At 45.6% G+C, this 25,386-nt stretch overlaps 3 protein-coding genes across 17 annotated transcripts in view, besides 3 other annotated features; 1 reads left to right on the forward strand and 2 right to left on the reverse strand.

The window, feature by feature from the left end:
* PFDN2 (prefoldin subunit 2) lies at positions 1–17,477 on the reverse strand. 2 transcript variants are annotated; one of them, XM_011509624.4, is made up of 5 exons: positions 17,392–17,477; positions 10,004–10,052; positions 1,727–1,815; positions 1,488–1,611; positions 1–299 (listed from the first exon to the last, which is right to left on the reverse strand). In XM_011509624.4, the coding sequence occupies exons 3-5, from the start codon at positions 1,744–1,746 to the stop codon at positions 123–125; spliced, it is 321 nt and encodes a 106-aa protein (XP_011507926.1). In that variant the 5' UTR covers positions 1,747–1,815; positions 10,004–10,052; positions 17,392–17,477; the 3' UTR covers positions 1–122. The 2 variants fall into 2 exon arrangements, with proteins under 2 accessions (XP_011507926.1, NP_036526.2); NM_012394.4 differs by lacking the exon at positions 10,004–10,052.
* Positions 11,797–12,026: an enhancer, noted in NCBI's record as "active region_1976". NCBI's record gives its function as "activates an Ori minimal core promoter by ATAC-STARR-seq in GM12878 lymphoblastoid cells {active_cell/tissue: GM12878}" and the evidence as "EXISTENCE:reporter gene assay evidence [ECO:0000049][PMID:35858748]".
* Positions 16,933–17,913: an enhancer, noted in NCBI's record as "H3K27ac-H3K4me1 hESC enhancer chr1:161087283-161088263 (GRCh37/hg19 assembly coordinates)". NCBI's record gives its function as "activates a minimal SCP1, AML or CMV promoter by ChIP-STARR-seq in primed H9 embryonic stem cells {active_cell/tissue: H9 hESC(primed)}" and the evidence as "EXISTENCE:reporter gene assay evidence [ECO:0000049][PMID:30033119]".
* NIT1 (nitrilase 1) lies at positions 17,545–24,885 on the forward strand. 9 transcript variants are annotated; one of them, XM_024447363.2, is made up of 7 exons: positions 17,545–17,991; positions 18,226–18,321; positions 18,574–18,828; positions 18,949–19,052; positions 19,259–19,392; positions 19,547–19,672; positions 23,581–24,885. In XM_024447363.2, exons 1-7 carry the CDS (start codon positions 17,939–17,941, stop codon positions 23,593–23,595), a joined length of 783 nt encoding a protein of 260 aa, XP_024303131.1. In that variant the 5' UTR covers positions 17,545–17,938; the 3' UTR covers positions 23,596–24,885. The 9 variants fall into 9 exon arrangements, with proteins under 9 accessions (XP_024303131.1, XP_047277373.1, NP_001172021.1 ...); XM_047421417.1 differs by having other exon boundaries at positions 17,545–17,649; NM_001185092.2 differs by having other exon boundaries at positions 17,545–17,618.
* The window catches only part of DEDD (death effector domain containing), an 11,694-nt gene continuing 6,721 nt past the window's right edge, over positions 20,414–25,386 (reverse strand). For 3 of the 6 annotated variants that reach the window (NM_001039711.2, NM_032998.3, NM_001039712.2), the window contains 4 exons: positions 23,578–23,966; positions 23,279–23,386; positions 22,515–22,661; positions 20,414–21,963 (listed from right to left, as the gene is read on the reverse strand). In NM_001039711.2, the coding sequence (NP_001034800.1) occupies positions 21,587–21,963; positions 22,515–22,661; positions 23,279–23,386; positions 23,578–23,902 (957 nt within the window). In that variant the 5' untranslated portion in view covers positions 23,903–23,966 and the 3' untranslated portion in view covers positions 20,414–21,586. Of the gene's footprint in view, positions 21,964–22,424; positions 22,662–23,278; positions 23,387–23,577; positions 23,967–25,386 lie in introns of all 6 variants that reach the window. The other 3 variants (XM_005245600.4, NM_001330765.2, XM_005245599.4) reach the window with 1 other exon arrangement.
* Positions 23,270–23,770: an enhancer, noted in NCBI's record as "H3K4me1 hESC enhancer chr1:161093620-161094120 (GRCh37/hg19 assembly coordinates)". NCBI's record gives its function as "activates a minimal SCP1, AML or CMV promoter by ChIP-STARR-seq in primed H9 embryonic stem cells {active_cell/tissue: H9 hESC(primed)}" and the evidence as "EXISTENCE:reporter gene assay evidence [ECO:0000049][PMID:30033119]".

The raw sequence follows: 25,386 nt of genomic DNA on the forward strand, positions 1-25,386 counted from the left end.
TTCTGACCAAAACATTTAATTAACAAAAAAATATTACAATAGCAGAGAAAATAATAATAATAACAATAAAGAGAAATTAGAAGTGGGAGTCAGGGTAGAAAAAAATGCAAAGGCCTTGGTCCCTAGGAGACCAACACTCCAGCTGAGCTGGCCTTAGCCCCAGCCCCTTCTGAGTTTTCCTTGGCTGCTGGCTTCTCATCTTCTCCCATGAGACGAATGTTGTGCTTTTCCCGGAATTCATTTAGTTCTTTTCCCTTTGCCTGAAGCTGCTGTGTCAGTGTCTCAATGATCTTCTGTATCTAGAGGACAAGTGACAGGGATTATATAAGGAATTCAGGACTCCTTTCCCCCACCTGGAATGGACTATGGTTGGAGGAAGTGTTAACACATTTAACCTTACCTTTAACCAAGTAGAGGAGCCCAGACATTAAAATTATTCCTTTCTTGAACACAGTGGTTTATACACTTTAATGTACTTAGAATCACCTGGGCTGCTTATTTTTATTTTTTACAGAGACAAGTTCCTACTATGTTACCCAGGCTGGTCTCAAACTTCTGCCTCAAGCAGTCCTCCTGCCTCGGTCTCCCAAAGCGCTAGGAATACAGGCATGAGCTTATTTTTATTTTTTCATTTTTTATTTTTAATATTTTTTTTTTGAGTTGCAGCATCGCTGTGTCGCCCAGGCTGGAGTGCAGTGGTGCAATCTCAGCTCACTGCAAGCTCCGCCTCGCAGGTTCACGCCATTCTCCTGCCTTGCCCTCCCGAGTAGCTAGGACCACAGGCGCCCACCACAACGCCCAGCCAATTTTTCGTATTCTTAGTAGAGATGGGGTTTCACCATGCTAGCCAGGATGGTCTTGACCTCCTGACCTCGTGATCCGCCCGCCTCGGCCTCCCAAAGTGCTGGGATTACAGGTGTGAGTCACTGCAACCTGCCTAGCTTATTTTTAAAATGTCACTTCATGGCACTCCCAAAGGTTCTAATCCAGTGGGTCTGGGAAGCTGCATTTATAAATTAGTCCTTCAGGTGATTTTGATTCATGTATTCGTGAAACACACACTATGAGAAACATTACTCTAACCCCAATCCTCCCACCCCAATTCAGCCAAGTCACAGAGCCCACAGCAGTCAGCAATTCCTCTTGTCTAAGAGTTGCACTTAGCATAGCATAATGAGCATAGGCTATTTTATGCTGCCCTCCTTTTATCTGAGACAGGGTCTCACTCTGTCACCCAGGCTGGAGTGCAGTGAGGTGATCACAGCTCACTGAAGCCTCGACATTTTAGGCTCAGGTGAGTAGCTGGGACTACAGGCACATACCACCATACCCAGCTAATCTTTTGTATTTTTTGTAGTGATATGGTTTCACCATGTTGCCCAGGCTGGTCTCGAACTCCCGGACTCAAAGAGTCCACCTGCCTTGGCCTCCCAAAGTGCTGGGTTTACAGCCACTGTACCCGATCCTATTCAATGATTCTTGCTCACCTGCTCCTTGTTGTTCTCCAAAGCGGGCAGCACCTCTTTGACAGTTCGCTCCACCAGCACTCCTCCAACCATGCGGTAGCACTTACGAGTTTCATCTACCTCCTTCAGTGTATCGATCACTAGGCTGGGATAGGAGAACAAGGCAGGACCTGAGGATTCAGCCCCACTCTACTACAAATCCCCCTCACGGAGTAGCCCACACAACTGTCCTACTGTTTGCCTCTCCCTGACTTTCTCACCTGTGCTCATTCAACTCCATCTCCAACTCAGCTGCTTTGGATGCCAGGCCTCGCTGTTCCTGCCGAAGGCGGTTGAAGCCAGCAATCACCTAACAAGGTGAGAGAAGAGATGAAAGAGGGGATAGTGGAAATGGCAGAGGGTCCAGATAGCACATAGGGTGGCAGGCTTTACAAAGGTGCAGTAGTGGGCACCTACCTTGGAAAAGGAGTAGAACCACAAGTTTGCGATTTCTACCTAAAATTTTTCTGGAATTCCATTCACCAAACACGGAGGGCTTACTATTTTTGAGATATTTGAGGGCCCACTGAGGGATATCACAGAATAGATTTGGCCTCTGGCTTCTCCTGGCTCATAGTTTGGTGGGAAATAGGCATTTAATATAAGAATGGGGGCCAGGTGCGGTGGCTCACACCTGTAATCCCAGCACTTTGGGAGGCCAAGGCAGGCGGATCACAAGGTCAAGAAATTGAGACCATCCTGGCCAACATGGTGAAACTCTGTCGCTACTAAAAATAGAAAAATTAGTTGGGTATGGTGGTGTGCGCCTGTAGTCCCAGCTACTTGGGAGGCTGAGGCAGGAGAATCATTTGAACCCGGGAGGCAGAGGTTGCAGTGAGCCAAGATCGCACCACTGCACTCCAGCCTGGCGACAGAGCGAAACTCCGTCTCAAAAAAAAAAAAAAAAGAATGGGGTTGGAGAGCTACTGGAGTACCTACAGGGGAGCCTAGACTTGCAGTGAGGGCTGTCAGGAAGGGCTTTGTAATGAGTAACTTTTGTTTGGGTCTGCTCAGTATCCCATCCATTGGGGAACTGCCCCTCCTTAACTTGGTGTGGTTCTTTTGGGGCTACTAACCACATGACCCCTGACCCAGGGGCAGTGACCTATGGAATCTCTCTACAGGAATTGGAATTTTGCAGACAAATGGGTATAGAAGACAGCTGGAGTTAAGATTCCTATTGGTTCTGTAGAGATGACCTTCCATTCCTATTCCTAGATTCCCTAAAGCTGCCCCAGTTCTTGAACTTTGTTCAGTCTAGTTATTTAGCCTTCTTTTTCATTCTGTTCAATTCTGTGAAATACCCACTATTATTCAAAAATAGCCCTTTAAAAAAAAAAAGGGCCAGGCGTGGTGGCTCACGCCTGTAATCGCAGCACTTTGGGAGGCCGAGGTGGGCAGATCACCAGGTCAGGAGATCAAGATCATCCTGGCCAACATGGTGAAACCCCATCTCTACTAAAATACAAAAAAATTAGCCGGGCATGGTGGCATGTGCCTGTAGTCCCAGCTACTCAGCAGAGGCAGGGGAATTGCTTGAACCCAGGAGGCGGAGGTTGCAGTGAGCTGAGATCACGCTACCACACTACAGCCTGGCAACAGAGCAAGACTCCGTCTCAAAAAAAAAAAAAAAAAAAAAAAAAAAAAAAGAAAGTTGGTCAAAGTTGGTTTCTGTAGCCTATAAACCCTAACTGATACAGAATTGATACAGGCTTCCTGAGGGATAATGTAATGGTCTTAAATGAAACCTGAAAAATCAGAGTGTGGGGGGAAAAAATGAAAAATATGAGGCTCAGAGACAAAAGACCAGGTTTCAGGTTCTGCCTCTGCTACTTTATTGGCTCTATGGCCTGGCACAGACATTTAACCCTGTGGTTCTTAACCATGGCTATATGTTAGAATCACCTGAATCATTTTAAAAACATGAATACTGGACCCTCAGAACAACTACACAACTACTGGGGGTAAGGCTCAGGCCTCAGTATTTTTAAAAAGATCTCCCACATAATTCTAATGTGTAGTGTGAACTGAGAACCACTGGATTAACCCCTTTAAGCCTTAGTTTTCTTACCTGCAAAATGCAGATAATGATTCCTACTGCATAAGGTTGTTGTATCATGTGAACCAATGAGTGTGAAACATCTTTGTGAACAGTGAAGTACATTAATGCTATCATGGACTTCTCTCCAAGTCCAGAATTGCCCCTTTAGACTCTCCTGGTCATCTGACAACAGTGGACTCAATCCATTCAAACCATTACCAAATACGAGTGTATTTGCAAATATCATCTCCAGTCACACAGCCAGAAACTTTCCCCTAATAAAGATGATTAACCACTTCATCTTTACTAGGGCCCTATCTCTTTTTTTCTTTTTCTTTTTCTTTTTTTTTTTTTTTAAGAAAGGTCACACACTGTCACCCAGGCTGGAGTGCAGTGGCACAATCATAGCTCACTGCAGCCTCAATCTCCCTGGGCTCTAGTGATCTTCCTGCCTCAACCTCCCAAACAGCTGGGACTACAGGTGCACACCACCTAATATTTTTGTAGAGACAGGATCTTACTATGTTGCTCAGGCTGGTCTCAAACTCCTGGGCTCAAGTGCTCTGCCTGCCTCAGCCTCCCAAAGTGCTGGGATTACAGGCATGAGCCAACATGCCTGGCCTGGCCCCTTAGCTCTAGTTCGCCTTCTGCAAGGATCACATACAGCAAATATTATCCAAATGGCTGACCTGCACCACCCTTATGTCCCTTCTACTGCCAATAAACCAAGGAGTAATACTTCACCAAAAACTTGTCATTCCAGCAACCTCCTCCTTTCTCCCATCTATCACCCCTTCATCTCAAGCTACTTTAGCCATTCATTTCAACAAATGCCTTGGAAATCTAACTTATCTACAGATTGTTTTTCCTTAACCTTCATTGCCTGTCTCAAAACCATCCCATTTATATTAGCTTTTTCTCCACTGTTAATATTCTAGATCAAAATAATTCCATCTAAAAAAAAATTATGACTAAAGCAGATTCTAGATGTTCCCTCAGCACCCAAATGATCCACTTTTCTGGATGTATGTTGTTAAATACATCAAAGAAATCAGCTTAAGTGTCTAAAATTTCTGATGCCCCAACTTTTAACTCCTGGGCTCAAGTGATCCTTCTGCCTCAGCCTCCCAAGTAGCTGGGACTACAGACATGTGCCACCACGCAATTATTTTTATTTATTTTTATTTTTTGTAGAGACAGGGTCTCACCATGTTGCTCAGGCTGATCTTGAACTCCTGGCCTCAAGCAATCCTCCCACCCTGGCCTCCCAAAGAGCTGGGATTACACGCAGGAGCTACCATGCCCAGCAGAATTTATTTTCCTTAGTAATTAACAGGAATCTACTTTTCTTTTCTTTTCTTTTTTTTTCTGAGAGGAGTCTTGCTCTGTCGCCCAGGCTGGAGTGCAGTGGCGCGATCTCAGCTCATTGCAACCTCCGCCTCCCGGGTTCAAGCGATTCTCCTGCCTCAGCCTCCCAAGTAGCTGGGACTACATGTGCATACCACCACACCAAGGTAATTTTTATAATTTTAGTAGAGATGGGGGTTCCACCATATTGGTCAGGCTGGTCTTGAACTCCTGACCTCAGGTGATCCACCCACCTCAGACTCCCAAAGTGCTGGGATTACAGGCGTGAGCCACTGCACCCGCCTGAGATTTTTTTTTAATTCCAACTTTTCTTCAACATTCTTGCTAATAACTAATTTCCTCTTGTTCCATTTTATGAACTTTTAATCAAATACCAAACTAAAATCTACTTAAACATGTTGAGTTATCTACAGTTATTATGGAAAATTTCAGCCATAAGTGCACTTAAAGGAAATGAAATCTCTTAGCAGCTGATATAGTTTATGTGTCCCCTCTAAGTTTCATATTGAAATATAATCCCCAACTTTGGAGGTGGGGCCTGGTGGGAGGTGTTTGGATCATGGGGGTAGATCTCTCATGAATGACTTGGTTGCCATCCCCTTGATGATAAGTGAGTTATTGGTCTGAGTTCACACAAGATCTGGTTCTTTAAAAGTATGACACCTACCCCTCTTTATTCCTCCTGCTCCCACTATGCATAAGACACCTGTCCCCTCTTTGCCTTTCATCATGATTGGAAGCTTCCTGAGGCCACCCCAGAAGCAGATGCCATGCTTCCTGTACAGCCTACAGAACCATGAGCCAATTAAACCACTTTTCTTATAAATTACCCAGTCTCAGGTAATTATAGCAACACAAGAACGGCCTAATACAGCAGCTAACTGCAACTTAACTGTAGACTATATGTAAATAAGCCAATATTAAGCCATTTCTGGGGTCTGCCAGGTAATGAAAACAGAGAAGCTATCCTCTATTCCCACATTTTTCCTTTTAAAACATAACTTTTCTAATAGTCTTCTCCCCTATGGCTAGGACCTAATTATCCTTCCCTTTCCTTATTCCTTATTCTCTGTCTGCTGTAAGCACAGATTGACACATCAGTGTTGCGTCTCTCAACCCTATTAAATCATCATCTATGTACAAACAATTTTTTTCTTTTCTTCTTTAGACAGGGTCTTACTTGAACTCCTGATTCATCTGTTGCCCAGATGGAGTACAGTGGTGCAATCATGGCTCATTGCAGCCTTGAACTCCTGGGCTCAAGTGATCCTCCTGCCTCCACTTCTAGAGTAGTTAGGACTATATAGGCACCCATCACCACTCCTGGCTAGTTTTTTAAACTTTTTGTAGTGATGGGGTCTCACTCTGTTCCCTAGGCTGGGGTGCAGTGACACAATCATGGCTCAGTGCAGCCTTGAATTCCTGAGCTGAATGAAGCGATCCTCCTACCTCAGCCTCTTGAATGATGGGACCATTGGCATGTGCCACTATGCCCGGCTAATTTCTGTATTTTTTTGCAGAGACAGGGTTTTGCCATATTGCCCAGGCTGGTCTTGAACTCCTGGGCTCAAGTGATCCTCCCATCCTAGCCTCCCAAAGTGCTGGGATTACACGAATGAGCCACCAGGCCCATACCCTATTGATATATTTTTAAAAACTGCTTAACTAGGGCCGGGCATGATGGCTCACGCCTGTAATCCCAGCACTTTGGGAGGCTGAGGTAGATGGATCACGAGGTCAGGAGATCCAGACCATCCTGGCTAATATGGTGAAACCCGGTCTTTACTAATAATACAAAAAATTAGCCGGGTGTGGTGGCACATGCCTGTAGTCCCAGCTACTTGGGAGGCTGAGGCAGGAGAACTGCTTGAACCCAGGAGGCGGAGGTTGCAGTGAGCCGAGATCGTGCCACTGCACTCCATCCTGGCTGACAGAGCGAGACTCTGTCTCAAAAAAAAAAAAAAAAAAAAAAGCTTAACTAATCCTCTGCGTTAGAACATTTAGGTTGTTTCCAATTTTTCTGTAATAAATAGTACCAATATAAAATCTCTTTGGACAGGCCTGGCATGGTGGCTCATGCCTGTAATTCCAGCAGTTTGGTAGGCCAAGGCGGGCAGATTACTTGAGGTCAGGAGTTCACGACCAGCCTGGCCAACATGGTGAAACCCCATCTCTACTAAAAATACAAAAATTAGCCGGGCGTGGTGGTGCACACCTGTAGTCCCAGCAACTTGGGAGGCTGAGGCAGGAGAATCGCTTGAACTCGGGAGGTGAAGGTAGCAGTGAGCCTAAGATCATGCCACTGCACTCCAATCTGGGATACAGAGTGAGATTCTGTCTCAAAAAAACAAAACAAAGGCCAGGCGTGCTGGCTCACACCTGTAATCCCAGCACTTTGGGAGGCCAAAGCGGGCGGATCACCTGAGGTCAGGAGTTCGAGACCAGCCTGGCCAACATGGTGAAACCCCATCTCTACTAAAAATACAAAAAATTAGCTGGATGTGGTGGCGTGTGCCTGTAGTCCCAGCTACTTGGGAGGCTGAGGCAAAAGAATCGCTTGAACCCAGGAGGCAGACGTTGCAGTGAGCTGAGATCACACCACTGCACTCCAACCTAGGCAACAGAGCGAGACTCTGTCTCAAAAAAAAAAACAAAAACAAAAACAAAAATAAAAATTAAAAAAAAAAAAAAAACAAGGCTGGGTGTGGTGGCTCACCCCTATAATCCCACCACTTTGGGAGGCCAAGGCCAGCAGATCATTTGAGGTCAGGAGTTCAAGACCAGCCTGGCTGACATGGTGCAACCCTGTCTCTACTAAAAATAATACCAAAAAATTAACTGGGTATGGTGGCACATGTCTGTAATCCCAGCTACTCAGAAGGCTGAGGCAGGAGAATCGCTTGAACCTGGGCGACAGAGGTTGCGGTGAGCCAAGATCGCACCATTACACTCCAGCCTGGGCACAAGACCGAAACTCCGTCTCAAAAAAAAAAAAAAGGAGAATCACTTGAACCCAGGACATAGAGGATGCAGTGAGCTGAGACTGCGCCACTGCACTCCAGCCTGGGCAATAGAGTGAGACTCCATCTCAAAAAAAAAAACAAAAAACAAAAAAAACCTCTGGACAAATAATGCACGATTTACAGCCACTTTTCTTGAATTTCTTGAATCGTATTCCAAAGTAAGATCAATGAGTCAAAAAGGCATTAGCATTATTATAGCTTCCACTGCATGTCGCTAGAAAGCTCTCCAAGATGACCAGATTAATTTATACTGCTACCAGCAATATCATGATTATATCTCTTCTCTTTCCCCAGAGCCCTAATGGTAACTTTTATTATTTTTGTTACTTTAATAATTTTTAGAGTTGGAATGTAACTCCAGAAACCTTGGAATCATCCTTGATTCACTATCCACATCAAATTAATTACATGTGTACTACTTATTATACCCTCCTGATTTCTATACTGCCTCCTGATTTGCCCCCTTTAATCTACTCCCCACACTGCAGCATAAGTGACCAAAAATATAAATCTAACCAATTATTCCTTTGCCTAAAACCTTCTCAATGCTCACAGGATAAAATCTGAACTCCTCAAAAAGTCATATAAAGACCGGGTTCCAGTTTACCTCTCCCAATCAGTTGTTCCCTCCACATCTTAACTCAGCACTCAGTGTCCTAAGTCACTGGTAGTTTCCCTTAACAGCTGTCTTCAGGCATCTGCATAGAATCTTCACCCTACGTTTGGTATACTTTCCCAAACCTCTCTCATTCAGTTTTTCTCTGCTTAAGTCTAGTTCTTTCTTCAGGTTTCAACTTAGATTCTTCTGGGAAGCAGAAGAATCTGGCCATCTTCCATTCCCATATGTTAACCCTTTATATGTGCTCATATAAAAATGCATATTAGTTACTTAAATAATTTGACAAAATCTTTTCTATTTATATTGTGTTATTTTCCACCATGCAGACTGCCTTCTATTCTTTATCTTCTTTTAAAATTGTAAATATGCAAATGCAACCTATTTTAAAATATCTATTTCTTTCATAGTCCTACTATAATCTGCCTTCCACAGTCTCAAGAGTAAAGGAACACCTACTATATGCCAGGCACTGTGCTAGACTATCTCATTTAATTCTAAAAAACAAAAAAGACGGTAAGACCTGTACCTTCAATTTGTAAATAAGGAGACCAAGGCTGGTGGAGTGTTGTGTGGTGGTCAAAATAACATAGTGTGGATCCAGGCACGGTGGCTCACGCCTGTAATCCCAACACTTTGGGAGGCAGAGGTGGGCTGATCACTTCAGGCCAGGAGTTCGAGACCAGTCTGGCTAACATGGTGAAACCCTGCAGATCACTTGAGGCCAGGAGTTCCAGATCAGCCTGGCCAACACGGTGAAACCCCATCCCTAATAAAAATACAAAAATTAGCTGGGCGTGGTGGGGGGAGGGTGCCTGTAATCCCAGTTACTCGGGAGGCTGAGGCAGGAGAATCGCTTGAACCTGGGAGGCGGAAGTTGCAGTGAACCCAGATTGTGCCATTACACTCCAGCCTGGGTGACAGAGCAAGACTGTGTCTCACAAACACAAAACAAAATAGTGTGGGATGGGCGCAGTAGCTCACTCCTGTAATCCTATTACCTTGGCAGGCTGAGGCAGGCAGACCACTTGAGCTCAGGAGTTCGAGACCAGCCTGGCCAACATGGTGAAACCCCATCTCTACTAAAAATACAAAAAATTAGTCGGGTATGGTGGCTTATGCCTGTAGTCCCAGCTACTCGGGAGGCTGAGGCAAAAGAATTGCTTGCACCTGGGAGGCGGGGGTTGCAATGAGCCAACACCACACCACTGCACTCCAGCCTGGGTGACAGAGCAAGGCTCCGTCTCCAAAAATAAAAAATAAAATAACCTAGTGAAGTGCAGAAATCATACCTGTACCCAGGTTTGTCTTAACTCTAAAAATCTCTGTTAATATATTATTCCTGGCTTATCAAATATTAATTTCTTATCAAAGCAAATTTATATTCCTGTTTTCTTTTTTGTTTACCATATAGTTTTAATAATTTTAGGAAAAAATCTATAATCATTACCTTTCTCTCCAAAATGTCCTAGGGTCTTCTTACATGACATTTACTCTTACTGGTTTCAATAGAAGAATAGAAGAGGTAGAGAGTTATGATTGGATGAACCTGGAAAAGCATGATCTGGGATACTGCTCCACTAATTACCTTCTTTTCAGTTCAGTGCCCCCTTTTCTGAAGAACATACTCAACTCTCTGTCAAAGAAAACTTCTTTGACCTTATTACTCCATCAAATAATAGTACTCATCCCTTCTCTTCATGAAATTTTTTTTTTTTTTTTGTAGAGACTTTTTTTTTTTTTTGAGATGGAGTCTCGCTCTGTCGCCCAGGCTGGAGTGCAGTGGCATGATATCGGCTCACTGCAACCTGCACCTCCCAGGTTCAAGCAATTCTCCTGCCTCAGCCTCCCGAGTAGGTGGGACTACAGGCGCCCGCCAATGCGCCCGGCTAACTTTTTGTATTTTTTAGTAGAGATGTGGTTTCACCATGTTAGCCAGGATGGTCTCAATCTCCTGACCTTGTGATCCGCCCGCCTCAGCCTCCCAAAGTGCTGGGATTACAGGTGTTAGCCACTGCGCCCAGCCCGAGATGGGGGTCTTACTATGTTGCCCAGGCTGGTTTCAAACTCGTGGCTTCAAGAGATCCTCCTGCCTCAGCCTCCCCAAGTACTGGGATCCAAGTAGCAACATAGTAAAGTGGAAAGAACCCAAACTTCTTATTCTGACCTGGGTTGAAATCCCAGTTTTGCCATTTACTTGCTATATGACTGAGTCACTTAACTTTCCTTGTTTCCTCATTTATAAAATGGACTTAATATAATATACCACAGGGCAGGGTTTCTCAACATTGTCACTACTGACATGTTAGGCCAAATCATTCTTTGCTAGGAGGGCTGTCTCAGGCATTATAGGATGTTTAACAAATCCCTGGACTATACCCACTAAAAGTCAGTAGCAACCCCTTTGATTTGTGACAACCAAAAATGTCTCCAGACACTGCCAGATGTCTCCTAGGAAAAGATAATGCCAGTTGAGAATCACTGCTACAGGGTAACAATGAGAACTAACTGAGATAATAGGTCAAGTGCCCGATACAATGTAGATCTTCGACTCCCCTTTGGTTTCCAGGTCCCTTCAGTTCTCCTTCCTATCTCAAGCCTCCTTCTTTCTCCTTTCTGAAAGTTCTTCCTCTTTCACTCCCACAATGGCCACAGGATCTAAGATTCTATTCATAGCACTTCTTCATTACCTACATTATTTTTGAAATTATTTTTTATTGATTCATAATCATATTTTCATGGTATTGTGATAATTTGATATATTCATATAATCAAATCAGGGTAACCTATACTATTTCAAGTGGCATTCTTAGCTACTTCTATAGTTCCAGCAATTGCCTTTATTCTACTTGCCTGCAAAACCAGGCCTTTTCAGAAATTCTAGTCCCACATTTACAAGTTAGAGGAAGGAGCTTTTTTGTGCCTGACAGAAATGGCTTAACGTCAGACCATGACAAGTTACTTCTTTTCTGAATGTTTCTTCACCAATAAAATACAGATTAATACCTGTCTCACAGAATGCATAAGTATTAATTACTTCTTTTCTGATGTTTCTTCACCAATAAAATACAGATAATACCTGCCTCACAGAATGTTGTAAGGATTAAGTAATTACATCAAGAACTTAGGACAATATCTATCATATAACAAGTTTTCAATAAATAGTAGCTGCTATTATTACAGATCATCTCCACCTAAATGTCCCATGGATATCTTAAACTCATGTTGTTCAAAGCTGAAGTGATCTTATCTCTTCTATTTCTGCTACTGACATCACTCTAGGCCTCCTGGTAGGAAACCTTAGTTTCATCTTTTGTTTTGTTTTTAAAGATGGGGTCTCCCTATGCTGCTCAGACTGGTGAAAAGTGGTTATTCACAGGCACAATTATAGCACACTATAGCTTCAAACTCCCAGACTCAAGTGATCCTCCTGTCTCAGCTTCCTGAGTAGCTGGGACTACAGGCACTTGCCACCATACCCAGGTTCATCTTTGAACATACCATAATCCCATGAACTGCCAAATGTATTGCACTTAGTTTAGCAATTTCTCTTAGGCTCACTGACATAACCCTAGTTCAGATGTTCATTACATTCTTATCTGAATTACTGCAATAGTCTTCTAAATGATCCTATTTTTAGACTCCCCAAACCTACCCTACACACTGCTAATTTAATCTTCCTAACACTTAGATGACATAGAAAAATGTTCAACATATACTATTAGGCTTAAAAAACAGATTACAAACCAGTACATACTGTAGTATAATCCTAATTTTATAAAATATGTAAAAAAAAAAAAAAGCTCCCCCTTCCATCCACACATATATACACAAAAAGACAAAGGAGGGGGGAAAAAATCTCTCAAAGGATATACTCCTAAATGGCAAGAAAAGTTATCTCTGGATAGTTGGATTATGGGCAATTTATTTCCTGGTTTGAACTTTTTCCTTTGTTTTCTGCAGTTCCGACAATAAATGTATTATTTTATATAAGAGTTAAACAATTAATAATATAACATATATCCTTCTGTGACTTCCTCACTGCTTATGTTAAAAAGTCATAAATTCTTTGGCATGCACTCAAAGACCTCTATGGCCTTATTCAACTACTCTCCTCTTATCATATTCCCTACTTTCTATTCCCACTGCTACCTGTTCAAATCCATCCACTCCTTCAGGGTTCTGCTCAAATACCTCTAACATAATCATGGCATAAGTGAAAAAAATACCTGATTCTTAAGTCCCTCATTTAAAAATCCTGCTCTTCCAGTTACTGACCTTGGGCAAGTTAACTAAAGCCTCTGAAATTAAAATGTCCTCACCTATAAATGGAGGACAACACAACCTACTTCAAATGGCAGTAATTGAATAACAGAAGGTAGGCCTGAGCGGTGGCTCAGCTCATGCCTGTAATCCTAGCACTTTGGGAAGCCAAGGCAGGTGGACTGCTTGAGCCCAAGAGTTCAAGACCAGCCTGGGCAACATGGCAAAACTCCATCTCTACAAGAAATACAAAAATTAGCTGGGCAGGGTGGCACACGCATGTAGTCCCAGTAACTTGGGAGGCTGAGGTAGAAGGATCACCTGAGCCTTGGGAGGTTGAGGCTGCAGTGAGCCGTGATCGCACCACTGCACTCCAGCCTGGGCAACAGAATGAGACCCTGTCTCAGTCAGTAACAGAAGGTAAAACAAGTGTCTAACACAATGTGTTATTTGCTTCCATCTTGTTTGTAAGGGACATATGTGGCTCAAATTTGCAGCAGTGATAAATCTTGTAATGTTTTACCCAGTGTTCTCTCCAGAATAAACAAAGGCAAGAGAATGTTAATCAAGGAACAGCCTCAAAACTCACTTATCACACTTCCTCAGTTTCCTGAGGGAAGTTTGAGGGGTTCTCTTTAGCTCCCCTAAAACAGTGGTTCCACTCTTGTTCTACTTCTTTTTTCACTTTCTGTACAAACTATGGAAAGTGATCATTTTTATCCATAACCACGGCTTTATCATCCATAAACTCAATTCTCAAATCTGTATCTCCAACTCAGATTTCTTACTGTATCTCAAGATTTAAAAATCAAAGTGTCTACTGAATGTTTAACCTGGGTGTCCCACAAGAAACCTAAACTCAAAATCCTAAAATAAACTTACATTTCCCCCAAAATTGTCTGTCTTCCTACATTCCTTATGGCACCATTATCCACCAAAGACAGAAACCTGAGAGACATCTTATATTCCTCTTTTACCCCCTTTTCTCCATATTCAAGTTCTGTAATCCACCTCAAACATTAAGTCCCACCTGCATCCCAAACATGCCAGGCAGTTTCACGCCTTAGTGTTTTGGAACACATTTATTCCCTCTACCTAGAAAATCTTCCACTTCCTTCTTTGCTTGACTAACTTCTCTCATCCTTTAGAATTGAGCTGAAGGATTTTTCTCCTCTAGAAAACAAAAGCTAACTAGCATTTACTAAACACACACTATATTCTAATCACTGTGCAAAACACTTCGCATGCATTGTCTTGCCTAATACTCTAAATTCAGTGATGAGGTAGGTATTGTTATGTTTCTACAGATGGGGGAGGCCAAGATGTAACTCATGGGAGGTCATATATAAATAGTAAATAGTAGAAATGAAATTCAAACTTAGGTCTGACCCTAGTGCATAAGAATGCTCTTAGCCACCCTACTATACCACAGCTTCCCTTATCCAGCCCCTACCCCCACAATCCTACAACCTCGTGATTAGTTAGGGGTCTCTCCTCTGCTGCCATAATGAAGGGATTGTGCAGCACACTATAAATCTTTATTGTTTGGTTTGTCTTTTCTCAAATGAGTCTGAGTAAAGCAATTTGAAGACAAAGTCTGTTTCATGTACAATAGTCTCTCATTATCCAGAGTTATCCAATGTCTGAAAATAAATGGAAAATTCCAGAAATAAACAATTCATACTTTTTGTGTGTTTGTTTTTTGAGACAAGAGTCTCGCTCTTTGCCCAGGCTGGAGTGCAATGGCGTAATCTTGGCTCACTGCAACCTCTGCCTCCCGGATTCAAGCGATTCTCCCTGCCTCAGCCTCTTGGGTAGCTAGGATTACAGGTGCCCGCCACCACACCTGGCTAATTTTTTTATTTTTAGTAGCGATGGGGTTTCGCCATGTTGGCCAAGCTGGTCTCGAACTCCTGACCTCAGATGATCCACCCACCTCGGTATCCCAAAGTGCTGGGATTACAGGCGTGAGCCACGGCACCTGGCCAACAATTCATAAGTTTTAAGTTTCACACTGTTGTGAATAGCGTGATGAAATCTCTAGCCATCCCGCTCAGGATGTGAATCATCCTTTTGCCCAGCCTATCCATGCTGTATATGCTACCTGCCCTTTAGTCATCAACATCTGCTCAACATTGTCGTGGCTCAATGATCTGAGATCACCTAAAGCAGATGATTCTCCTTCTGACTTATCATCAATAGTGGCCTAAGGCTATATCACAATGCTGTCATTCACCTTACCTCATCAGGAAGGCAGTTTATCATCTCACATCATCACAAGAAGGGTGAGTACAGTACAATCAGATATTTTGAAAAAGAGAGACCACATTCATGTAACCTTTATTACATTGTCATAACTGTTCTATTAGTTACTGCACCTATTATATAAATTAGACTTTATCATAGGTATGAGAAAAAACATAGAGTTCAATACTATCCCAGGTTTCAGGCATCTACTGGGGTCTTGGAATATGTCCCCCTCAGATAAGGGGGAGCTACAGTATCTGTATCGCTGTACCCAGCAGAGTGCTTGGCCCATGGTAGCCTTAAAAATTATTAGGGGGAGCCAGGCAAGGTGGCTCACACCTGCAATCCCAACACTTTGGGAGACCAAGGCAGGTGGATCACCTGAGGCCAGGAGTTCAAGACCAGCCAGAGCAAGAAAGTGAGACTCCCATCTCTACCAAAAAAACAATTTTTAATTAGCCATTCAAATGGCTTATGCCTATAGTCCCAGCTACTCAGGAGGCTGAGTCAGGAGGATGGCTTGATCACCCAGGGATTTCAAGGCTGCAGCGGGCTATCATCACGCCATTGCACTCAGCCTGAGCAACGAAGTGAAACTCTGTCTCTAAAAAAAAAAGTACTGTGGCTCATGCCTGTAATCCCACCACTCTGGGAGGCCAAGGCAGGCGGATCACTTGAGGTCAGGAGTTCGAGACCAGCTTGGCCAACATGGTGAAACCCCGTCTCTACCAAAAAGACAACAATTAGCCAGGTATGGTGGTGCACCTGTAATCCCAGCTACTCGGGAGGCTGAGGCACCAGAATCTCTTGAACCTGGGAGGCAGAGGTTGCAGTCAGCCGAGATCACGCCACTGCACTCCAGCCTCGGCAACAGAGACTCCGTCTCAACAACAAAAAAGTATTAAAAAGCATTAGGTTCCTTTTCCCTTCCCCCACCCCAAGTCAGAAACCATATTCCATAGCACTTTATACTTCTCTTAGGACACTTATCTTCTGCCTCATATGAGCATTTTGCTTCTCTTATTTACCCCACTAGACTATGCTCTTCGAGACCAGCATGGGCAACATGGTGAAATCCTGCCTCTACAAAAATTAACTGGGCGTGGTGGTGCGGGCATGTAATCCCAGCTACTCGGGAGGCTAAGGCAGAAATGCTTGAACCCGGGAGGTGGAGGCTGTGGTGAGCCGACATCCCGCAACTGTACTCCAGCCTGGATGACAGAGCGAAACTCTGTCTCAAAAAACAATAAAAATAAAAATCTTTATGCTGATACATCTGCTTGTATTAATTGTTCAACAAAAACTGAACCTATAATTAAGACAGCTGTAGGCCGGGAGCGGTGGCTCACGCCTGTAATCCCAGTACTTTGGGAGGCCGAGGCGTGCGGATCATTAGGTCAGGAGTTGGAGACCAGCCTGGCCAATATGGTGAAACCCCGTCTCTACTAAAAATACAAAAATTAGCCAGGTGTGGCGGCGCGCGCCTGTAGTCCCAGCTACTCGGGAGGCTGAGGCAGAAGAATAGCTTGAATGAACCACGAGGCGGATTGCAGTAAGGCGAGATCGCGCCACTGCATGCACTCCAGCCTGGGCGACAGAGCGAGACTCCGTCTCAAAAAAAAACGATAATAATAAAGTAGCTGTTAACTGTTTTCATTTCTATTGTGTAGCTTTCCTCCCACTCCTATTTTTCCACTTAGCAAAACACGGTTCCCAAGCCACAAAGGGTTTTCTAATTAACTTATCAAACGCTTCCCGATGCTAGGCACTGGGGAAAATGCAAACTCGGATTAGAAAGGGGTTTCTGGTCTCTAAAGAAATTCGATCTAGTAATGAACTCCCGAATTAAAATAGTATATAGAACACTAGGCTGTTCGAGTATGAGAGTCACGTGGCTCTGCAGCGTGACGGCGATTGTCAACGTGGGTTCAGGATCACGTAACAGACTACACAGCCAGCCCGTTAACTAATTCTCTAGGGTTAGTTTCGAGCTGTCTTGCCCAGCCATAACCTGTTTGGAGAGGCTGAGGAGAGATAGAGAAAGCAGCAAACCATCTCCCCTCAGACCTGTGCATCTTCCCAGACCCTACATGTCAGGGCTTTCCCCTTGCTCAGGCTCACCCACCACCTCACGGAGGCGTGGCTCTCACCTACCCACCCGTCTACCTCTCCGAAGGGGTTCGGCTAGCTTTTCCGGGGACCCTTCCCTCTCTAGGTGCCACGCACATGTGGTGCTGGAGTAAAGGCCTGCACAAGCCACAGGCTCCCCCTTCTCGCTAGTATTCCAGACCCAGGTGGGTACCCTGCTTCGCGTTAGCCACTCCTCACCTGCTCTGCGGACACCGCCCCCTTCCCCGCGCCGCTCCCGCTGCTCTTGCCGGCGCGACCGCTGTTCTCCGCCATCTTCGCCGCCTGCTGGGTTTCCGGCCGGCGCAGCTCAGCCCCCGCCTTGCGTCACGTCCGGCCTGCGAGTTACCGCCCACTCGCTGCGGCGCTTCTGGCTCCAGACCGCCCTCCGGATCGGACCCTGCGAATGGTTTTGGCTATATCTTCATGTAGGACCTACTCCCTATCCCGTCGGCCGCGGTGAATCCCACCTGCGGTGCTTTAACTTGTGTAACAGAGATGCTGCCTCTGGGAGAGGCGGGGAGGGACGGGCCAACTGGAGCGGGCGGCGGGAGGGTGGAGGGCGGGGCGCGGCTTGGGGCCTGGGTTCCTTTGCCCCTTGCCCACCAGGGAGGGGTGGGAGACGAGAGAGGGTGAACTTTCCCCTGCGAGATTCTGGTGAAAGGGGAAATATGCTTCGAGTCAGTAAAGCTGCGCAAGTGCACAGTCAAGGAGAGAGTCTTGGGAAAACCAAGGATAGTTCCCGGAGATGACTTTTGGACTGCGGAAACGTTTGTCAGAGGAAAGAGGCTTCAGTTTAATGTGAGATCATTGGAAGTTGAACTATTCAGGCGGCGAGCAGAGCCCCTTTCTCCATCTTCCCACTGTATGGTCTTGTCCCTTAGCCTATAATTTCTTATAAAGAGCGTTTTGAAGACTAGGTTTTTACTGGCAGGGCCCTGATTCAGGCTCACAGTATAAAGAGAGAAGTCAGAGAATCCTAGAAATTTATTGCTTGAAGAAGGGGTTGGTGTCCTCATATCTCACCTTCCTCAGGCTGGGCTTCATCACCAGGCCTCCTCACAGATTCCTGTCCCTTCTGTGTCCTGGACTCCGGATACCTCAACTCTCAGTACTTTGTGCTCAGCCCAGGTAACACGTTTTGTTGTGTCCTCAGTGCCTGGCACTTAGATGCTCAGTTTGTTAAATGGATAGTGGGAGACACAGGAGTGTCAACTATCCACACATTTGATTGGTGAGCCCTACTAGCCCTGGGTCAACGTGCCCTGTAAGAGCATGATCAAAAGGAAGTCCAGCTTTCCTGCCTCTCCACTTGCACCCCTTAGCATTAAATTTGCTTCCCTGTGCTATGAAATCTGAGAATCCTGCCTATGCTGTTCACAGGCCCAGAGCCATGGCTATCTCCTCTTCCTCCTGCGAACTGCCCCTGGTGGCTGTGTGCCAGGTAACATCGACGCCAGACAAGCAACAGAACTTTAAAACATGTGCTGAGCTGGTTCGAGAGGCTGCCAGACTGGGTGCCTGCCTGGCTTTCCTGCCTGAGGCATTTGACTTCATTGCACGGGACCCTGCAGAGACGCTACACCTGTCTGAACCACTGGGTGGGAAACTTTTGGAAGAATACACCCAGCTTGCCAGGTATCAGGGAAATAGCGAGGGAGAGGTAGAATCTTTGTTGGACAGTGTCCCTGGGTTGCCAGATATGAGGGTAGAGCCTTGAGAAGTCAGTGAAGAGTTGTCAGTGTCCCTTCCCCCCAGGGAATGTGGACTCTGGCTGTCCTTGGGTGGTTTCCATGAGCGTGGCCAAGACTGGGAGCAGACTCAGAAAATCTACAATTGTCACGTGCTGCTGAACAGCAAAGGTGAGACTTTATAACCCTTTAGCCTGCCTCTTCCCATGCTCTTCTACCTAGATTCTCCAGAATTGTTTCTCAACTCTTATTTCCTTGACCCAAGGATTTAGGGGTGGTCCTACTTCAGTTCCTAGCCTATAAACTATCTCCTCCTTGGGAGGAGTAAGCAAGGCTTCTAGAACACCAGCACTGATATTCCTTCTTTCTTACTGTAGGGGCAGTAGTGGCCACTTACAGGAAGACACATCTGTGTGACGTAGAGATTCCAGGGCAGGGGCCTATGTGTGAAAGCAACTCTACCATGCCTGGGCCCAGTCTTGAGTCACCTGTCAGCACACCAGCAGGCAAGGTAGGAGTTGTGAAAGGATGAGGGAGGGGAACAGGAATACTTTGAACTGGCAGTAGAGGATAGAAAGCCCTAAGAGAGGGGGTAATGGAAATATGACTAGATGCTGTGACAAACAGAGCAGGAAGACTACTAAGTAGGCTGTTTTTCATTCCAGATTGGTCTAGCTGTCTGCTATGACATGCGGTTCCCTGAACTCTCTCTGGCATTGGCTCAAGCTGGAGCAGAGATACTTACCTATCCTTCAGCTTTTGGATCCATTACAGGCCCAGCCCACTGGGAGGTAAGATGATGCCTTTTTAAAACATAAGGGCCTTTTCTTAACCTCATCTTCCCCCCTTGGCCCTACCAGTTAAATTCCTTCCCCTTTCCACCTAATGGGAAAACTCATTCCCCAGATATTTCTCTCATGAATAGTTAAAATAGTAAATCATTCCTAGGCAATTACCAAAATAGTCACAATGGGTAGATTGGTCTGTAATGTCCCTCACCTGTCACTTCCCCACTATTTGCTACATGTACTTAAGTGAACACACATCTCATGCCCAGGTGTTGCTGCGGGCCCGTGCTATCGAAACCCAGTGCTATGTAGTGGCAGCAGCACAGTGTGGACGCCACCATGAGAAGAGAGCAAGTTATGGCCACAGCATGGTGGTAGACCCCTGGGGAACAGTGGTGGCCCGCTGCTCTGAGGGGCCAGGCCTCTGCCTTGCCCGAATAGACCTCAACTATCTGCGACAGTTGCGCCGACACCTGCCTGTGTTCCAGCACCGCAGGCCTGACCTCTATGGCAATCTGGGTCACCCACTGTCTTAAGACTTGACTTCTGTGAGTTTAGACCTGCCCCTCCCACCCCCACCCTGCCACTATGAGCTAGTGCTCATGTGACTTGGAGGCAGGATCCAGGCACAGCTCCCCTCACTTGGAGAACCTTGACTCTCTTGATGGAACACAGATGGGCTGCTTGGGAAAGAAACTTTCACCTGAGCTTCACCTGAGGTCAGACTGCAGTTTCAGAAAGGTGGAATTTTATATAGTCATTGTTTATTTCATGGAAACTGAAGTTCTGCTGAGGGCTGAGCAGCACTGGCATTGAAAAATATAATAATCATAAAGTCTGTGTCTGGACATCGCCTTTGGGAACTAGAAGGGGAGTTGGTATTGTACCAGCTGGACTAAGCTCCAGTTCTAGACCTCCTGGCTCATTCAACATGCCTCCCTACCTAAATAAAAGTGCAACACTCAGTGCATGTCCCAGCCCCATTCTCCCAAGCATGGGAGTGGGCGTAGGAGTGGAGGAGGGGGAAGGAAAAAGGAATTACTTCACTTACACCTATGATGCCCTTTGCCCAAGCCAGAAGAAAGCAAAGGGGAAAAGGGCTGCAGGGTACATTATTTATTTTCACTTGAACATGGAAAGAAAGTGTCACACTCCCCCTTCCCCTTTATAGGGGGAGTGTATTTTAATCAGCAACCTCTTCTCCATCCACCCTGTGTATGTGTGTACACATATACCACCACAGTTGGGAGGCATGACTAGGCTGACCCAGTCTTATCTGTTCCTCCTTTGAAGAGGGTTTGACAAATGGGAAAAAGGAAGGAGCCACATCAGGCAGAGGTTTCAAGCCATGGAATGGAGGAAAGGCGGCAGAGAGGAGCAGCACCAGAGGCCAGGAGAGAGTGGAAAGGGCCACAGCTTGTTTTTAAAAAATTCTATAATTTGGAAGAGGGTGGCGATTAATTTTCAAAATACACTTCAGAGTCCCACTTTCCACATAGCTCCCTTACTCACAGCCCTTTGGTTTTTTAGACAAAATTTAAGAGCTCTCATAAAGCCAGAAGTATTGATAACTCCTTAGTGCATCCAAAAAAAAGTGTTCACATCAATCCCTTACAAAGACTATGTGCTGTAGACTTTGCTTCTTCCTATACATTTGTCTTACGGCTCAGTGGTAAGGTAGCTGTAGAGACACATTACGGGGTAAATGGAAAAGGGAAATAAAGGGGAAGCCCAGGCACATGGGTGCAGGGAGGGGTGGGGAATACCACTTCCACTTTCTTTTGTCTTTTTCTTTAAAAAAAAAAAAAAAAAGGCAGGGGTGTGATTGGTTGGAAGGGTAGAGAACAAACCCCAGAACAGTGTAAGCTCCAGAGGTGGGTGATGGGAACAGTCCCCAAAGTGAGAAGAGGGAATAGGTCAGGGCAATGCTTGCAGCATCAAGTTCCTCAGGAGTTTCTGTCGGCCCAGCTCATAGTCCTCCTCGTCTACATTTACCAGCAGCTTGATGGCTTCATGGCCCACAGCTTGCTTGAGGGAGTCTGTGATGAAGACACCTTTAAGTGCCTCTAATAAAGAGCCATTGATGTAGTCACGCCAGAATGCATCGAGGTAGGTGAGCTCAGAGAACTTGATGTCACAGATGATGGAGCCCAGGTCCCGGGACTTGAGGATGGTGTTGGCCTGGTTAAAGCGCTCAAACTGGCGCTCAAGTGGGTCCTGCTTGTTAGAGAAGACATTGCCCTGCAGAGCAGTCTCATGCTGGCAGTATTCAGCCCGAACCCGCAGTCTGATGTCTGTTGGAAACAGAAGATACAGAGCAGAAGAGGTTACAGTAAGGGATGAGTTTACAAGCCAAGCTTGAAAACTGAAAAGCACAACAGAATAAAAAAGTAGGGAATATCACCTGACAGCTTCTCTACCTCTTCCCCAGGACTATTTCTATGTATCTCTGAAATCCTTGCCTGAATGCAGGAGGTTCCCTTAAACGGGACATGCCGAGGTCAGCACTGTTCCCATTACTCACAGGTAGCAACTTGTTTATAGGAGATATTTTCCTAATTACCAGGCATAGAAGTTCATTTTAATACTCGACTTGGCTCATCCTACAATAAGGATGTCATAACAACATCCCTGTGATGTAGTATTAACTAACAAGAGTTGAAATGTACCCTGCCACAATCATAAAGAGCAGTTCTTCCACCAGACACCAAACCATTCAGCCTCACTTTGCAATGGCAATCAAAGTGAATCTCACACTGAATAGCATAAACTGCCCAGTGTCCCAGCAGTTCTTTATATTCTCCTTCAAGTCTGCTCCATCTCTGGAACCCTTGAACTTCCTCACCACATGTCTGCTTCTCCTTGGGATCTGGTGTCACTGACTTCCGGCGTTTTCGCTGGCTCCCAAGTGTGGCTCTCCCTCGGGCTGGCCGCTTGCTACACATCTGAGGACCCGAAGTGGGGCAACACACCACAGGATAGTGGGGAGGCACTGACCAGAAAGTAAAAGGGAAGAAAACACAGTAGGGTAAAGGCAGAAATTCAAACACTTCTGTTGGAATGAGGAAGGAATCATTTAGACTTAGCACTAAAAGCAGTGGAAAAATGTGACTTGAAAAGACATGTGAGACCAGGTGCAGTGGCTCACGCCTGTAATCCCAGCACTTTGGGAGGCCAAGGCGGGTGGATCATGAGGTCAGGAGATCGAGACCATCCTGGCTAACACGGTGAAACCCCGTCTCTAAAAATACAAAAAATTAGCTGGGCGTGCTGGCGGGCGCCTGTAGTCCCAGCTACTCAGGAGGCTGAGGCAGGAGAATGGCGTGCACCTGGGAAGTGGGGCTTGCAGTGAACCGAGATTGCGCCACTGCACTCCAGCCTGGGCGACAGAGGGAGACTCTGTCTCAAAAAAAAAAAAAAAAAAGACAAGACATGTGAGAGCAAATACAGGACCTAGGAGAAATGTCACCTCGCCTGATTTTTTTTTTTTATGGGGCAAGATGTGGGCGCACAGCATCCTTTCATTTAAGCTGGCAAAGCCCAGAATGTGATGGGATCAGTGTCCTTTTACTTGATGATGGAAAGCAGGGGGAGTTAATGTCTTCTCACCTGTTTTAGAGGGCTGGGGAGGCCTTGGTTCTGGATCACTGAGGGCTCTGGGGGTCACATAGCGAATTGATGTCTCCTCCAGATACTTGTCTACAAGATCAGGGCACACTGTAGGAGGAGAAGTAATCATTCAGGAAAATATACACCCTTCCCTTCTGTCAGTCCAAACCCCCAGTGGGCCTCACAACTTACTCTAAGTACTCCCCAGGATCAATGTGTCCTCCCCTTTGGACGCCTATGCTGCTCCTTCCTGGCCTCCCACAACTCTTCCCTGATTCCAGCCCCTAATACTTCCTCACCAGCCCGTCTCCTCTTGAGGGTGACGTAGGGCAGCAGGTCGTGGCGAGTGATGATGCGCAGCAGCTGCAGCACCTGGCGAAAGTTACTTTCATCACAGCGGCCCTGGCGCTCCAGTGCCAATAAGAAGTCACGTCCATTTCGGATGAGTCCACGCTCGTGGTCATCAATGACATCAACAAAGAGGAAAGAAAGCACGCGCACATCTCTGTGTGTCAGATGAGTGCCCACGATGTCAAACATGCGGTGCAGGCTGTACAGCCCATGTTCCTGCTCACCATGCTCTTCTGGCCACACCTGGCTTGCCCGCCGCTTTAGGCCCGCCATGCTGGGGGCTCAGGTACGCAATGCTTTCCAGAATCCCTGCTCAGCAGCTGCAATCCCCACCGTACTGAAAGGGCAGGGAAAGAACCGATGAGACACTCAAGGGCAGGAACTAGTCTCATGCATTCCCATATTCCCAGTTGCTAACAATGCCTGGCACAGTATAGTGCTTTATACATGTTTATTAAATTTTTGAAGTGTTTGTTTAAAAATAAACACTGGCCAGGCACAGGGGCTCACACCTGTAATCCCAGCATTTTGGGAGGCCAAGGCAGGAGGATCACTTGAGCCCAGGCGTTTAAGACCAGCCTGGGCAACATAGGGAGACCCGTTTCTACAAAAAAAGAAAAAATTAGCTGGGCTTGGTGGTACACGCCTGTAGTCCCAGCTGCACAGGAGGCTGAGGTGGGAGGAAGGCTTGAGGCCAGGAGTTCAAGATCAGCCTGGTCAACATAGCAAGACCCCATCTCTACAAAAAAGAAAAAAATTAGCAAGGCATGGTGGCATGTGCCTGTAGTCCCTGCTACTCAGGAGGCTGAGGCAGGAGGATCACTTGAGCCCAGGAGTTCAAGGCTGCAGTGAGCCATAATCCTGCACTGTAGCCTGGGTGACAGAGTGAGTCCCCCATCTCGGAAAAAAAAGAACTAGTTTAAATTCTGACTGTATCACTGAAAGGCTGTGTAGCTGTGTGACCGTAAGCAAGTCACTTAACTCCAGATTCTCAGTGCTGTCATCTATAAACAGGGATGAATGAATATACACCTCAGAGTTGTTAAGAATCCAATGAGAAAATCACGGGTAACCCTTATATAAATGGTTGTGAAACATTTCAAAGATACAAGCATCCTTGGCCTTTGCAGCCCAGAATCATCCCTCCACATTTTTCCTACAATCCAACCACATCAAGAAATGATAACTGCTCAGAAAGTTTATCAATATTTACCAAAACTCATGGATTTAAAATAAACATTAAGTTTCTACAATAAGCATTCTTGTAATTCTATGCCATTTGTACTCCCTTGATCTTCACCCTATTTGGCAATATCAACTTTTTTTTTTTGAGATGGAGTCTCACTTTGTCACCCAGGCTGGAGTGCAGTGGTGCAATCTCGGCTCACTGCAACCTCCGCCTCCCAGGTTCAAGCAATTCTCGTGCCTCAGCCTCCCAAGTAGCTGGGATTACAGGCACGCACCACCACGTCTTGCTAATTTTTGTATTTTTAGTAGAGATGGGTTTTTACCATGATGGTCAGGCTGGTCTTGAACTCCTGACCTCAGGTGATCCACCCACCTCGGCCTCCCAAAGTGCTGGGATTACAGGCGTGAGCCACCGTACCTGGCCTTGGCAATACCACCTTCTAAGCTTTCCTCATGGATGTCATTTACCAATCCCCTATCAATGACCAATCACAGCTCCACATTCGTTATATAGTTTGGCTCTTGATTCACAAAGTTCCTCCATCGTTATGGGCTACAGGTAATACCAA

Source organism: Homo sapiens, chromosome 1 (assembly GCF_000001405.40).
Source record: "Homo sapiens chromosome 1, GRCh38.p14 Primary Assembly".
Taxonomy (NCBI): Eukaryota; Metazoa; Chordata; class Mammalia; order Primates; family Hominidae; genus Homo; species Homo sapiens.

What these genes read in the sequence shown, in the direction of transcription:
- PFDN2 (NM_012394.4), bottom strand. Translation starts at nt 17,466, where the DNA reads ATGGCGGAGAACAGCGGTCGCGCCGGCAAGAGCAGCGGGAGCGGCGCG. An exon ending in GGGCGGTGTCCGCAGAGCAG is followed by an intron (nt 1,816 to 17,391) that starts GTGAGGAGTGGC and finishes TCACCTTGTTAG; the next exon opens with GTGATTGCTGGCTTCAACCG. An exon ending in ATGGAGTTGAATGAGCACAG is followed by an intron (nt 1,612 to 1,726) that starts GTGAGAAAGTCA and finishes CTCCTATCCCAG; the next exon opens with CCTAGTGATCGATACACTGA.
- NIT1 (XM_005245214.3), top strand. Translation starts at nt 17,939, where the DNA reads ATGACTTTTGGACTGCGGAAACGTTTGTCAGAGGAAAGAGGCTTCAGT. An exon ending in GAAAGAGGCTTCAGTTTAAT is followed by an intron (nt 17,992 to 18,225) that starts GTGAGATCATTG and finishes CACCTTCCTCAG; the next exon opens with GCTGGGCTTCATCACCAGGC. An exon ending in GAATACACCCAGCTTGCCAG is followed by an intron (nt 18,829 to 18,948) that starts GTATCAGGGAAA and finishes CCTTCCCCCCAG; the next exon opens with GGAATGTGGACTCTGGCTGT.